This window comes from Homo sapiens, chromosome 6 (assembly GCF_000001405.40).
Source record: "Homo sapiens chromosome 6, GRCh38.p14 Primary Assembly".
In the NCBI taxonomy this organism is placed as follows: domain Eukaryota; kingdom Metazoa; phylum Chordata; class Mammalia; order Primates; family Hominidae; genus Homo; species Homo sapiens.
In genome coordinates, this window is record NC_000006.12 from 127,901,652 (window position 1) to 127,918,049 (window position 16,398).

A 16,398-nucleotide genomic window follows, 5' to 3' on the forward strand; every position below is an offset into this window, starting at 1 on the left:
CTACACTATAGTAGAAAGTATTAAAATTACTTGTCAGGAAACCTGCATTTTCTGGGTTTAGTTCTGCTTTTGATTTACAGGCTAACGTCAGCCTTGTCTTCTCTGATTTTCATTTGTTTTATTTACTAAATGGAGATGAAGTAGAAGAGTCCAATAAATTTTATAATTTCTTCCAAGTTCACAATTCCACAATTCTGATCTTATTGTTGAAATTTAGGAGGGGAAATGATCAGCACCAAAGGAAGCAGGAGAAAACTCATGAACATTGATCTCTTCAAAATCCTGCCCCTCTCTATTTTTTGCATGTAACTGAAACAATATTTAAAATATATACAATTAAAGGTGGTAGTTCCTAAGTCTCTTTAAGGTAAAGTAGAAGAATATTGGTTGAGGCTGGGTACGGTGGCTCATACCTGTAGTCCCAGCACTTTAGGAGGCTGAGGTAGGAGAATTGCTTGAGCCCAAGAATTCAAAACCAGCCTGGGCAACATAGTGAGACTTTGTCTCTACAAAAAAATTAAAAAATTAGCCAGGCATGGTGGCACATGCCTGTAGTCCCAGCTGTGAGGAGGCTGAGGAAGGAGGATCACTTGAGCCCTGGAGTTTGAGGCTACAGTGAGTTGTGAACATGCCACTGCATTCCAGGCTGAATGACACAGCAAGACTCTGTCTCAAAAAAAAAAAAAAAAAAAAATAAAGAATACTGGTTGGTATGTATACACTTGAAAGATGACAGGAATCTACACGTTTTCTTTAGTAACCAAACCCAGGCACTTATCTATTAACTGTTTTGGCCTTAGGCTGCAGAGAGCATAGCCACATACAGAGGGTCAGGGGACATCTCAGTTCTACCATGGCCATCATGTAAATGACCTAGAAAGATAAAAACTGCCTAGTTTTGATATGGAGCTTATAAAACTGTTTCAACTCTTTGTAATCCTATTTGACATTTTCAATAATCAGTCCAGCTTCATTTCTTTCTTTATAAAAGTAGAATTTACGATTGACCACATCAACAGGTTTACTATCATTAGATTCAAATTCCTCACTGGCAACTTTTTTGTCCAAAAATGTCCTACCCTTGATCTGTCTGCCTTCCATACCCCTCCCCACAGTTTACAGCCTAGTAGTGTATTTCATGTGGATGAATACATGAAAGAGGCTTCTGTGGACTGCTCCTTAAAAATTATGAATCCGTTAGAACTGATGCCACAATACATTTCATTTGATATCTAATGCAAGCTGGATATCACTTATTTTTTTAATATTCCCAAGTCAAATTTCTATCCTACTAGCCAAACAGCCATTTCGTATCACCAATCTCTTACAATTACCTAGGCTCCATCTGCTTCTGCTCTCGCGACAGATGACGCTCTCTCTGTGATAATCATCTTCGTATTCTCAGTCTTAATTAATGACACTGCTATTCTCTTAGTTTCCCAAGCCGGAAGGCTTAGAATCATGTGAGATGCCATTTTTTTTCTCTAGCCGTTAAATCCATCAGGCCCTATAGATGGCAATACTCAGTACCACTCACTCTGTCTTTGCTCTATATCCCCACTGCTACTGCTTTAGACCAGATCGTAATCACTTCTGACACACAGGCAAAAAAATCCTGATGTGAGCAGCCAAGTTAAGGTTGACAAAGAAGAGCAATGAGTTCAAGAGTACTTGAATCATCAAGTAAAATGAATTATTGAAGTTTGGTCATTAGAACAGCATGTTATAGGTGTAATAATAGATTAACGAGAATTTTAAAAAAAAAACTAGACTGTATATAATAATTTACTATTTGAAAAAGGTGAAATTCCAAGGCAGTGGGAAAGAATGTTTTATTCAACAAATGGTTGTTAAATAATTGGGGAGAAAATTTCCCTAACTTTCCATGCAATGAAATTAAAGTTAGATACATTTTAAAATTAAATTTAAATAAAAATAAACCAGAGGGGAAAAATAGGAAAATGTCTGGAAAAGGGTAAGAAAATAACTATTTCTGAGTAGTAATTGAAGGAAAAAACTAATAATATATTTGACAACTAACTTATGAAATACTCCTGTAAATCAAAAAGGAGTTTGAACAAAATAGAAAAAAAAAAAAGCACATCCTTCAAATAAACAATGGCTTAGGTGGGTAAAGGCCACTTGTTAGTCAATATGCAAAATAAAAATATTCAAAGACTTCTATTTCTGGCTATGAGCTTGTATCTGACCACGTTTTCTACCAAAGGCACCTAGAAGAGCTGTATACTTTTTAAAAAAGCTGTTTTAAGAAACAAGAGAGCTGTCAGGGTGCAGAACATGAGAGGCCAAGATCCTGTAAAGCAGAGCAGAACCATTAGAGGAACTCCATATTCTGCACTTCTTTTCCCTCAAGGCTTTTATGGGTTAGTAACTGGCACCAAGAGAGAGTCTGAGAAGGCAAAAACTGGTGGCTCAGGAGGAGAGAACCTGAGTTGAGTTTTTGGCAGTTTCACATAGCAAAAGAGACCAAAATAAATTGGACTTTGGGAAGTAGCAATTCCTCCAGGAAAAGTCAGAGAAAGGTATTGCTCAGCACCACTTTTTCCCCTTAAAATTTTTTTGCTCATTGAAAGCAGTACAGGGTTGATTGTATGAGACACAAACAAGAGCATGGTTGGTAGGAAGCTGAAGAAGCCAAGGAGTGCTTTCAGCAGTCTTGCAGAACTGGGAAGCCAGGGCCAGCCAAGGAGGGAGCAGGAGTCACAACAAATGCCTGTGTTCTCAGTTGGGGCTCCTGAAGGCTGCTTCCTAAGAGAAAGGGTTGCCTATAAATAGAACTAGCTTTACAAAAACTGAAGCTTAGACTAAAATTAGCTCAATCCCTCATTGGATTAAAGTGGTCTGCCCCTATTCTTGCTGCCAGATAGAAGCAAATGTAAATCCTCCTGTTGAGGAAAAGCAGCCAGAACTTCTGTAATATTTAAAAATACAACATCTATAATTAAGTATGAAATGAATGGGAATGCCAGAAGACAGGACAGAGAAAGACAGAGAGAAGGGAGACCACAGAAACAAACTCATGGGGTAATTCCGATATTGGAATTATTAGTCCTGCAATTTAAGATAATTTTGATAAACATGTTCAAAACTAGAAGACAAGAAGGAGAAAAGAACTGCCATCTATAGAAAGTATCGGATGAAAATTCTAGAGTTAAAAAATACAGTAACTGAAATTAAAAATTCAATAATTGGTTTTAACAGCAAATGGGACATACAGTAAGAGAGGATTGTTGAACTGGAAATGGGAGCGTAGGAAATATCTGCTCTCTCTCTTTCTCTCTCACTCTCTCTCTCTCTATCTATCTATCTCTGTGTCTCTGCAGAGAGATATTTCAGCCATAGTGGAAAGATCTTATATGTAAACTGAGTCCCAACGTGAGAGGAGAAATAATAGTGGGAGAAGAAATATTTTAAGAGATAATAGCTGAAGATTTTCCAAAGTTGAAAAAGGCATCAATCCATAGATTCAAGCCTTGCCAACACCACCAAGGAGGATAAATGCAAAAGAAGGCACACTAAGGAACATCATACTAAAACGTTAAAAAGCCAAAGTCAAAGAGAATATCTTAAATGCACTCTGAAGAAAAGAAATTGTCACTTTCAAAGGATCACCAATAAGATGATAGCTGACTTACTAACAAAAACCAATAAGGGTAGAACACAATGGAATACCATCATTAAAATGCTGAAAGAAACCAACTACCAACTTGATATTCTAAATCCAGAGACGCATGAAAGCAACAGCAAAATAAAGACATTTTCAGACAAACAAAAACTAAGAAAATTCATCACCAGTAAACTCTCACTAAAAGAAATACTATAAAGGGTGTTCTGCAGGCGAAAGTAAAATGATCTCAGACAGAAAGTCAAGACCACAGGAAGGAATGAAGAGGGTGAATATGTCAGTGAACTGAATATATTGAGTTCCCAAAACAATAATTAATGGCTTGTGGAGTTTTGAATATATCTGCACTATATATAGTTCATGCAATATATTGTAAAATATAGCAGTAATGCAAAAGCAAAACTGATAATGAAGTTAAAATGTTCTAAAGCATTAGCCTTCTAGAGAAGTTGCAAAAGTGATGTTTAATATCAGAGTTAAATAAATAAAAACACATGTAATTTCTAGGAAAGCCACTAAAAATGGTAAATGAATGATAAAATTAATTAATCCAAAAAAGACGAGAAAGAAAAGAAAAAGAACCTCAAAATTGCTAGCAAACATTATGATGGTATACATAAACTCAATTATACTCTTAAAATAATTTAAATGAAATAATTACATTTAAATGAAATAATTTAAATGTAATTAAATGAAATAATTTAAATGTAATTTAAATTAAATAATTTAAATGAAATAATTTTTACAAATAAAAATTAAATAGTTTAATAGTTCAAGTAATAAACTAATGTTGGCAGATAACATTTAAACACATAAATCTACTTAAAAATATACAATTTAGTTATAAGTTTATAGAAAGTCTAAAGATGAAAAAATGGGAAAATAAATACCATAAGACATTAAGCAAAAGAAAGCTCATGAAACTACATCAATATTACATCAATTAGATTTAAAGACAAGAAGGATTATAAAAGATAATAAGGTTATTTGTTTAATAATGAAAGGGTGACCAATTCTTAAAGAAAATTCACAGCTTTCAATAATATACCTTCAAAATATCTAAAGCAAAATTGACCAAATGAATGGAATCAGAGTAAAAACCAACCTGACAGAAAAAGCAAATATTTATTTCATAAAATTCATACTGTTAATGGTGCAATGTTTAGTCACTCATCTATATTACAAACTGTTGTGATCTATCTTGAAATCAATTTGATGTAGCAATTTCACATTTAGATATAATCAGATACACACAAAGATTTATTTATACCATCAACTGAAGCATTTATTACTTTAATGACCAAAAAAAGGAGGAGAAAAGAAAAGAAAATGCATTTCACATTACCCTAATAATTCAAACAGGGAAGTTCCTGTTGGAAAAAAAATATTGTCCTCACACCAGTCTTGCTACTACTTAACACATCTTTTTAAAATTTCTGCTAAAGAACAGAGAAGGACTTGGCTATGAAATGATGATTAAATTATAGTTAGTATCATTATTGCCAATGATTTCTATCCCAAGAGAAGTATTGTTGAAAAGAAAAAGAAAAGAAAAATGGCTCAAAGCAAACTTTACGTAAAATACCAATTCGTTTGTTAGATTCTCTATAGCTGCTTTCCTAAAAAGTAAGTAGAACTGTCTGAATGTTAAAAAACAAAAAAAAAAATTCACAAGCAGAGAAATAAGCTTCAGCAGTAGAGGCTTAAAACTATATTATAATATTTCAGTGCAATGTAATATTTCTTTGAGTAAAGAATAAACCCTTATCTCCAAGTAGATAGTATCGGAAAAAAACAAAAACGAAGAAATCTTAGAGATTATTCTGACTGGTATCTAAATCATTCATTCTCTGAAACTTTCTTTTCATTGGTTATTTCTAAAGAAGAAAAAATTAGGCTTATAGGAATCACTCCTGTGATTTTGGATTAACCAAAAGGTGCCATTTATTGGTTCGTCATTGAAAGGTTTACAGCATTTCTACCTACAAAATAAGCTTGCTCTGGGGAATCATACAATACCATTAGGGCATTAGGCTCGGATTTTTTTTTTTTTTTTTTTTTTTTTTTTTGCATGAGCGACATTTCAGGGATATCCTGCTGTTGTGTGACACCTGGCAGCTCAAGATTTGTATCTCATAGATTCAAGTGCAATGGAAGAGACTACCTTCTCCTAGTTATACCTGGAAAAGTCCCAGGATAAACTGTGATTGATCAAACTTGGCTCACATGTATATGTCTCAGCCAATCATTATGACTAGAAAATGAAATATGCTAATTTCCCATAATTTCAGGTTCACGGGCTCTACTTTGGATTTTATTAGGCAGTTGTCTCAGCTAAATCACAAAAAGTGTTGGAAGAGGAGATATATCAAAGGGAAATAAGTGAGCTAATTACCCAAAAGAGAAGGAATGGGTATGTGATAAACAAAATCATAGTACACCCACCAAAAATGTTCCCAGTGCCATAAATGGCTTCCATTTGAAATACCTTGATCACCATTCTCTTCTGTCTCCAACCATATGTACATTCTTCTTTTTATTTTATTTTATTTTATTTTTTTGAGATGGAATCTTGCTCTGTTGCAGCACCCAGCTAATTTTTTATATTTTTAGTAAAGACGGGGTTTCATTCTTAATTTATAAGAATGAATATGAATTATTTTAATAACCTTGAAAGAAAATAAAATCCTACTATACACAACAATTTGTTTTGTCAAAATGCAACATGCAAAATGCAACCGCCTATGAATGTGTTCATTCATCACCACCTGGTTTTCAAAGAAGCTCCTGCCTCCCGGCACTTTTAGTTTCCTTTTGAATAAAACTCAATGTAGGATTCATGTTTCTTCCCATGTAAGTTTCTTTTTTGATCATCCTTTTTTCTAAATTAATGTTTAATTGTCCTTTCAGCAAACCACTGAACTCTTCCTCTATGCTTGTCATTATACAAGGCACTGAGAATATAAGCCCTTAGAGACATTACATTTTAGCTGACCATGCCCACAAGTTAAGAATCACAATCCAATGTATACAGTTCAGGAACTTCAAGAATTAGGAAGGGGTCTCCCCAGGAAGAGTGTTCCTCAGATTAATCTTAAAGGGTAAAAAGCAGTCAAGTAGATGAGCCTGCTCACCATGAGGAGACTTGACTCAACTGAGTCGATCTGCGTATTTTTTTACACGCAGTTCTGCCTACTGCTCGGTGCCACAGAACAGGAGCACAGGTTGAAATGTCTTGCAAAGTGCAATGTGAATGTTGGTGTTACCGTATGAATTATGCCCTGACATTTTCCCTTGCTGTAGGACTCAACCTTTCCTCAGAACCATGAAATAAAAAATGAAGCCCTTATATTCATAAGAGATTTTCCAGTTCTTCCCTTTAAATGGTGGAGGTCCTGTGATGTAACTCTAACATTTTCCTCTGACTTTTATATAGCATTTGTGAAAAGCTTAACTGCAATATGTCTGTAGAAAGGGTATGCCCACTTTAACAGCTCTTTTCTCTTTTCTCTTTTTTTTTCACATTTGTTATCTCTTATAACTGAGAGAAACTCAAAGATGCCATTTGCGTTTTGATGTGCTAACATTTTAGAGCCTCACAGAAACAATTCAGTCCTGTATTATTAAAAGTAGAGCTTAAAACATTTAAAATAGTTATCTATTACAAATTAAGCACTGATAAGTTGCCAATTGCTTACAAAAAATCAACTTTCCTTTTAGATTTCAGACCTAAAAATTAAATAATATATTAAGTATATATATTACAAAAATAAAATATTAAAATATGCATTAAATACAAATTATCTAGTTTAGTAAATTCAACTTAGGATATGTATTTATTTAACCCAAGTTAGTTTATTGGGCAACAGACCATTTGCTTAACCTGACAAATGTATACATGAAACTGTGAGTTACAAATAACTTTTTTTCACCTGGTGCCACTAGACTGAGTCGGGGAAGTTACTCGGTGATATGGTTTGATTCTGTGTCCCCACCTAAGACTCACCTTGAATTGTAATAATACCCACATGTCAAGAGTGGGACCAGGTAGAGACAGTTGAATCATGGGGGCAGTTTCATCATCCTGTTCTCATGATAGTGAGTGAGTTCTCACGAGATCTGATGGTTTTATAAGGAGCTTCCCCCTTCACTTGGCACTCATTCTCCTTCATACTGCCATGTGAAGAAGGACATGTTTGCTTTGCCTTCCACCATGATTGTAAGTTTCCTGAGGCTTCCCCAGCCCTGTGGAACTGTGAATCAATTAAACCTCTTTCCTTTATAAATTAGCTAGTCCTGGGTATCCTTATAGCAGCATGAGAACAGACTAATACACTTGGTAACCAAAGCTTTGTAATATTAACAGTATATTTAACAGTCCCAGTCAAATGAATTACTGGGAAAAGTAATAGAGATGGCAACAAAAACAAACACATAAACATAAAACAACAACTATACACACACAAAGGAGAATGGTGATGGGTGCAGGTTGGTCAGGATTCTTATTTCCACAGTGTTTTAAAAACCTGAAGAACCTACTTTGTTCACTTGATACATCAGCAATACATGGTTGAGGACATTTTGTTTCTCAAAAGTACTCCTATTTTACAAACTAAGATAATGATACACAATTTGCCTGAGATAATTTTCAAAGTTGGAAAAGTCATAGATCCAGTAACAGAAAAACCTGGGCAGGAACTATTACACTTACCCACAAAATTTAATCTCTTGAGAAACTCTCAGTAAAAAAAAATCTCAAAGGGATTGAAAAGGTAGCAACAGAAGAGATTTATAGATTCACTTTATAGAAAAATAATAGCTTTAGCTTTCATTATTTTCTAGTGCATCTAATTTCCTTTTTAAATATATAAACTAGCTAAGACTAAGTAAAAGGCTTGTTATAGATGATGTTTTTTTATAAAGAATTACAGTCATAGTTCAGACTACCTTCTCAGTGTCTCTTTTTTCCAATTAAACTCTGAGAGCATTGCAACAAGCCTCATCATTTTGTAAGCTCATTGTCTTAGAAGATGTATTTATTTCATTCTTAGGAATTACATATTTATCTTTAAGAATTTGTTATTAGGGAAGAAAATTCTTGCTATAAACAGTTACAATCTCATTACGTAAGTATTGTTTTCTGATAGCAAGTATTCAAAAGTAATTGAATATTTTTATCCATTCCCACAACGTTATTTCCAGAATAAAGCTCTCTGAATAGAGCCAGGAAATGGAGAATCTGTTTCTACTATCACCATGCCTTAGGGAAGATAATTAGATGACTGTACATTTGAAATGGAGTTTATAAAATACAGCAACCATAATTTTTTAAAATAATTATTTGAGAATAGGTTATAGAATCATAGAAAAGTTGCAGAGATAGTACAGAGATTTCCTGTATACCCATACAAACACCTGTTTCCTTTATTTTAACACTTTACATTATGATGGTGCATTTGTCACAATGTAGAAGCCAATATTGAGATATTATTATTATTAGCTAAACTTCATACTTCACTAAAATTTTATTAGATTTTGCTAACGTCATTTTTCCTTTTTAGGATCCCATTCAGGATACCCCATTGCCTTTGGCCATTATGTCTCCCTAGGCTCCTGGGAGCTGTGGTAGTTTCTCAGACATTCCTTGTTTCTGATGACCTTGACAATTTGAGGGATACTGGTTAGGCATTTTGTAGAATGTGCCTCAATTTCAGTCTGTCTGATGTTTTTCTCATGGTTCACCTTGGGTTATGGGTTTGGGGAGGAAGACCACAGAGGTAAATTAGTTCTCATTCTGTCATATCAAAATTATAGACTATCAACATAATCTATCACTGATAATGTTAACTTTATCTGACTAAGGTAGTGTTTGCCAAGTTTCTCCACAGTATTGTTACCTTTCCCCTCTTTTCACACTGTTCTCCATGAAAACAAGTCATTAAGTGTAGCCTACACTTAAAGGGGAGGAACTTACACTGTAGCTCCTTGAGGGAGGAATATCTACGTAAATAATTTGGAGAATTTTAAAGGAGATATTTCTGTCTTCTCCTTCATTTATTTATTTATTTATTTATTTAATCATGAGTTTATTTATATCAGCATGGGTTTATGGATATATATATTATATATATCCATGAATATTTTATACCTATCCATGGATATATATTTTATACTTTAAGTTATAATCTGATACTGCTTTTAAAACTTATTTTGTGCTCAAATTGTTTCAGCTTTGATCACTGTATACACACACATATAAATATTTCTACATGTATTCATCTGTATTTACATAAGAATGTAAACGTAAGTTCATACTGATATTGCCTACTCTAATCCAATACTACATGGTTCATTCTAGCCTTCCTCCTTGGCTTATTTCTATCCTTCCACTCCAGTTGTGGGGTTTGGGAACCTCTGCCTACATTTCAAAGGATGTATGGAAATGCCAGGATGTCCAGGCAGAAGTTTACCGTGGAGGCAGAAGCCTTATGGAGAACTTTGCTAGGGCAGTGCAGAAGGGAGGGAGCCCCCACACAGAGTCCCCACTGGGACACTGCCTAGTGGAGCTATAAGAAGGGGGCCATTGTCCTTCAGACCCCAGAATGGTAGATCCACCAACAGCTTGCAACACACACCTAGAAAAGCCACAGATATTGTGTAGAATGTGCCTCAATTTCAGTTTGTCTGATGTTTTTCTCATGGTTCACCTTGGGTTATGGGTTTGCAGCTGGTGAAAGCAGCCAGAAGATGGGAAGTACCCTGCAAAGTCATGGGGCAGAACTACCCAAGGCTACAGGAACCCACCTCTTGCATCAGCATGATCTGGATGTGAGACATGGTGTCAAAGGAAATCATTTTGGAACTTTAAGGTTTAATGACTGCCCTATTGGATTTTAGACTTGCATGAGACCTGTAACCCCTTTGTTTTGGCCAATTTCTCCCATTTAAAATAGGTGTGTTTACTCAATGTTTCTACCCCCATAGTACCTAGGAAGTAACTAAATTGCCTTTGATTTTACAGGCTCATAAGTGGAGGGAACTTGCCTTGTTTCAGATGAGGCCGAAACTGCTATTGCAAAATTGTAACTGAGACAGTGAAAGAGATTTGACTAACTCCATCTTGCTTCTAACCTCCAAGCTGTCCTTGTTCATTCCTGGGAGCAGGCTGAGTTAACTTTGGGAAGAAATTTGGAAGTCAATCTGCATCTTACTCAAGTTCTGAGTCACATATGTAGGCTGAGATAATTGAAGATCTGTGTAAGTTACCTTGTTATTTCCAAGCTTCCATATTATTTTAGACCCAGGGATGACTTGTAACCAGAATTGGTCTGAGAAGTGCCATGAGAAACCCAAACCTGTCTTTGAGAATTCTCAAACCTCTTAATCTGGAATATGACCTACTTCTATGGCCTAACTTAAATTATTAATACACATAATACACAACTGAAAAAAGTTTAAAGGTGTTAAGCAAATGTAAGAGGAAAATCTATAATCTTCCTGAAAATATGACAAATTTTGTATACCTGTTTGTATTTTATAATAGTGCCTGTAGGCCAAATGTTGTTTGTTTTGCCTTACAAAGTCCAACTGCTTTCATGTTGAAGTTAAAACCTCCAGATCTTAGCCTGAATTCCAATGCTTCTACCATGAATCTTCTCGTCTAAGCAAAGTGGATGACTTGCTCTTCCAGATCTGTATCCCTAATGCAGTGAGAAAAGATTGTTATGAATTACTTTTCTCAGGGGTCTGACTAGGATATTTTTCCATGCCTGAATGACATCAGTGGCCAAGTGAACGTAATGCTCTGCTGGCCAGATTAGGTCACAGGACCATTACGACATTGGACATGAAATGCCTGGACATAGAGCAGAGCATCAAGTAATCCCTCATAAAAGAGGAAATAGATACTGGATGGAAAAAAAAAGTCTCTTATACTCATCACTTAAGTTCTAGTTCCTTTACCTCTATGAAGCCTTTTCTAATCTTTATATTATTTTCACAATTCTCTCTTCCTTTTCAGTTTCCATTCGCTGAATATTTTTTATGTGTCCATTTGCATGCTTTTTCCTTTGTTCCTGAATTCTACATTTAGGGAAAGGAGATTTGGGTCTACTTTGATTGGATGCACTCAATAGCTCCAAATACCTTCACCAGCACTATGCTAAGAAATGTTTTCAAAAAAAACAAATGAATGGACTTGACATATTTGTTGTATTTAATTGAATAATCTGAACCTGAACCAGGTTAAATTCTACCTACATTCTTACCTTCTCCTCCCCAAGATGACAGAATAGAATCATGACCAGACCTGGACACAGGCCAATGTTAGAGTGTTTGTCTCACTGAGAGATTTCTCCGTTGAAGTAAACTGTAAATTCAGGCTTTTAATCACCAAAGCATTATTTAATCTGTATTTGAAGTAAATATGAACTTCATAAATAAGCTGAATATTTTTCTCTTGTATAACATTTTACAGCTCATGCATTAGAATTCAATCACAAGTACTCTATTTTAGAATACCAGTATTGATTGGAAATGATGATCAAGGACTGTGTGCTTGCTAGAACTTAATTGGGAGAAAATATTGCTCCTAAACTCCTTAGCAAACAGCACATAAAATGGTGGAGGCCAAGTCTTATACAGGTTGAGAATTTATCTGATATGCTTGGGACAAAAAATGATTCAGATTCTTTTAAGATTTTGGAATATTTCCATATACATAATGAAATATCTTGGGGATGGGGCCCAAGTTTAAATACAAAGTTTATTTATGTTTTGTAGACACCTTATACACATAACCTGAATGTAATTTTATACAATATTTTTAATAATTTTGTGCATGAAACAAAGTTTTGAATGAGTTTTGACTTCAACATGAGGCTAGACTTGTAATTTTCCACTGTGTTGTCATGTTGGTGCTCAAAAAGTTTCAGATTTTGGAGCATTTTGGATTTTTGGATTTGCAGATCAGAAATGCTCAACCTGTATTGCTCTCCTGGAAACGCATGTCTGTGAAGATACTAAGAAAAACATAGTTTTTCTTTTTCTTGCCACTTTGTAAATTCCTAAGGGACGATTTCATTATGAAACATAGTCATGTGTCACTTAACAATGAGATATGTTCTGAGAAATGCATCCTCAGGCAATTTCATTGTTGCGTTAATCATAGAGTGTGCTTACACAAACCTAGGTGTGTACTTTTACTGCACACCTAGGCCATCAGGTATAGCCTATTGCTCCTAGGCTACAAGCCTGTATAGCATGTTACTGTCTGAATGATGTAGGCAACTGTAACACAGTGGTGTTTTTGTGTCTAGACATATCTAAACATAGAAAAAGGCACAGTGTAAACATGGTATTATAATCTTAAGGGACTACCATCACATATGTAGTCCATCGTTGACCAAACATTAATATAAGGAATGAAAGGAACTTTCAAATGTATGTAAATGACATTTGCCGCCTTTGTTCCCACTTTACAGTAAAGTTACATGCTTTTCTACAGTAGAGCCAGGAGGTAACTATATAATCTTCATAAAGTTCTATTTTGTTTGAAACAAAGTAATATTACAGATAAAGTGCCAAGTAAAATATTTTATGTGTGCCTGCTATGGTTATCACAACAGTAATTGACCAGAAACACACTTTGACCTGATTTTACACATTACTAGTGAATCTGAAAAGCTGCTACTTATTGATATTGAACCATTTTTAGAATCAAGTTTATATAATTTTAATCTTACACAGATTGAGGTCCCATTGTAACAGTTCGTCATTGATGGATCCATTTTTGTCCTATTTTTAGGAAATTTACTTTTAGAAGAACCACAGAAAACACTTTTGAAGCTTTTACTGGGGTGTGGAAGGAGGTTTATCATACTTCCCCTTTGGAAAAAAAACAAAATTGAAAACAGACATAGAAGCAAAATGATGACAGTATAGTATCATTTTGTTGTTGTTTGTTTGTTTGTTTTGGTACAACTAGGCTAAAGAACATACATATAATCATGCGCTAAAGACCATATATGTAATTATGGGCTAAAATTGGAGCTTCCAACCACTGTCCCCTAAGTTTGTGGCTTGGTATTGACAGCTGAAAGAGTTGAATTTCCAGATTCTACACTTAGGAACATTCACAGATTTCACAGGCCTTGTTCGGGCCTATTGCTATTCGGCCCTGATTTGGTCATACTTACTAAGTAAAGGCAGGGCAAATAAAGATGATGGGCTCTGTACTCTGCTTGGGGCAGGAGGGGGCTAGGGGTGGGGAGAGAGAGGGTCAGAGAGAAAGAGAGAGAGAGAGAGAGAGAGAGAGAGAGAGAACTTGAGCTACACATAAACCTTTAATACCAATTGTGCCAGAAAAGAAACTTCTCGGGTAGAAGCACATGAGAAAAAAGAATGAGCAGCTGGGTGTGGTGGCTCACGCCTGTAATCCCAGCACTTTGGGAGGCCAAGGTGGGTGGATCACCAGAGGTCAGAAGTTCGAGACCAGCCTGCCCAACATGACGAAACCCCGTCTCTACTAAAAATACAAAAATTAGTCAGGCGTGGTGGCACACGCCTGTAATCCCAGCTACTCGGGAGGCTGAGGCAGGAGAATCGTTTGAACTCAGGAGGCAGAGGTTGCAGTGAGCCGAGATTGTGCCACCACAATCCAGCCTTGGTGACAGAGCACCACTCCGTCTCAAAACTAATAATAAAAGAAAAAAGAATGAGCAAATTTGTTTTTTCCCCCTAAAACTAGGTGTCAGAACTTTCTATTTTTTGGGCAATGCAAGTCTGCCCAAAGTTACAAAATTAACCCTATATTTGTTTAATTAAAAATATGATTTTATATTACGAGACCTAGAGAAGGAGTTAGAAAAAGTTTAATTTTTTTATATTATAATTAAATATATCTATGAAAAAAATAAACCTAGGGAATGAGTTAGAAATAATTATATAGATATGTATGTATATGTATATATGCACATATATATTTATAATAAAATACTTTTATTGAAAACAATTATAGCTATATTACAATAAAAAGTCACTGCCCACCCAGTCCCCACCACTGTCCTCCATCAAACCCCAATTTTTGTTTGTGGTTCCTCCTGTCATGGCAGAGAGGCAACTGGAATTCTGCCTGGGATAAGGTGAAGATGATTAATGGTGCCTTCCTATCCCAACCTCTGTTCACTGCAATGGTTGACACAGAGGTCCTTCTGCCTGGTTTAAGAGGGGCATGATCAAAGCTAGAACTGTATCCTTTCTGTGGGAAACTTAAATGGGTACAGTAAGACAAAGAGAGTAAGAAAAATAAAATGGATAGAATTTATTCATTTCAGTGGCTGACAATGCTCAGACAAAATAGTGAATTACTGCTTGCTGTGCTGTTAGATTCTAAATCTCATACCTCCATATTCTGGCAGAGCCAGTGAACTCTCTAATATCCATAAAATAAATTTCCTTTTTGCTTAAGCCAGAGTCGGTTTCTGTTGCTCACAGCCAAGGACCTCAAATAATGTACTACCAGGGAATTATTTCCGATTGCTTTGAGTCAGAGGACAAGCTATTAGGCTGGTGCAAAAGTTGTTGTAGTTTTAAAAACACACTAAAAGTAATGGCAAAATCACAATAGAAGCTATTATGTTAATGGACAGTACACTTAGGCTCAAGTCCACTGACAAGCATCAGAAACTTCAAGATTAGGACTAGAATCAAAGAGTTTGCTTTTGCAAAAGCATTGATGTTAAAATTTAGTCTATAGGGTCTAGAAAAAGGGAATGGAGAAAAACAAACCAAAAAAGCTTTTAAGAGTTGTATTTCCACAGAAAACTAAGCTTGACAAAGTACTGGATTATTCAGTTGCTAAGATCTTCCCGAGTCTCACAAACTATAGCAGAAAGATTACAAAATGGGTTGGTCCTCAACACAACCTGAGATGTAGGTGGAAGTCAAGGAGAGCAGAATGGAGTCAGTCCCCCAGTTACATTTTGGGTCGGTAGGCAGGCAATAGATGCTTCTAGTAACAACTTCTATATCAATTAGGATCCTTTGGTTGCAAGCTACATAAATCAACAATAATTAAAGAAATGTGGGGAATTTATTGGATGAATAAGATATACAGAATTGATAGGATGCTGAAAACAGGACAGGAACCGGGGCAGTAGAATCTGGAATGTGTGATTACTGAACCTAGCCTTTCACATTAACTCCAAAATCAGCAGTGAGAAGTGCTTCCTTGTGTCAAAGTTCCTCTTGATGACCATTGTTTTAGGTACTTTTAATCTATCTGCCCAGCTCCTAGTCATGAGAATTCTCCTTCTCTTGGAGTAATCAGCAGGGATGTCCCTTTCAGCCACAGTTATATCATCTGATCACTTTCAAGACCATGGTTAGTTGAAGAGAGACCAACACCTGAAACAAGCAGGGCCAATCACATTCTCTTCCCCAGAAATTTAGAATTTGAACTAAAAGATATACTGGAAATCAGAAATTGTGTCATTAAAGATAAAACTTCTGAAGAACTAGCCACAAATTCCTGCTTCCGAGGAAGCTGTTACTTTCCCTGACTTCCTCATTCTAAGAGTCTAGTGGTTCAGCATTTCCTTGGATTCCATGAGATATAATAGGTTTCTAATAAATTTATCCTTTCTACTTACATTTGCATATGTCAGCTTATTTCACTCTTATCTGAGAGAGCCCTAATCAATACACTGTAGTAAAAGTCCTCATTGCAAGGATAAGTATTGATTTTTAAGAAT

The 16,398-nt window shown here is 35.5% G+C and overlaps 1 protein-coding gene and 1 pseudogene across 6 annotated transcripts in view; one reads left to right on the plus strand and one right to left on the minus strand.

The window, feature by feature from the left end:
• Positions 1-16,398, minus strand: part of THEMIS (thymocyte selection associated) — a 221,968-nt gene that overhangs the window by 205,024 nt on the left and 546 nt on the right. The window lies entirely within an intron of this gene.
• On the plus strand, positions 8,180-8,365 carry MRPS17P5 (mitochondrial ribosomal protein S17 pseudogene 5; annotated as a pseudogene).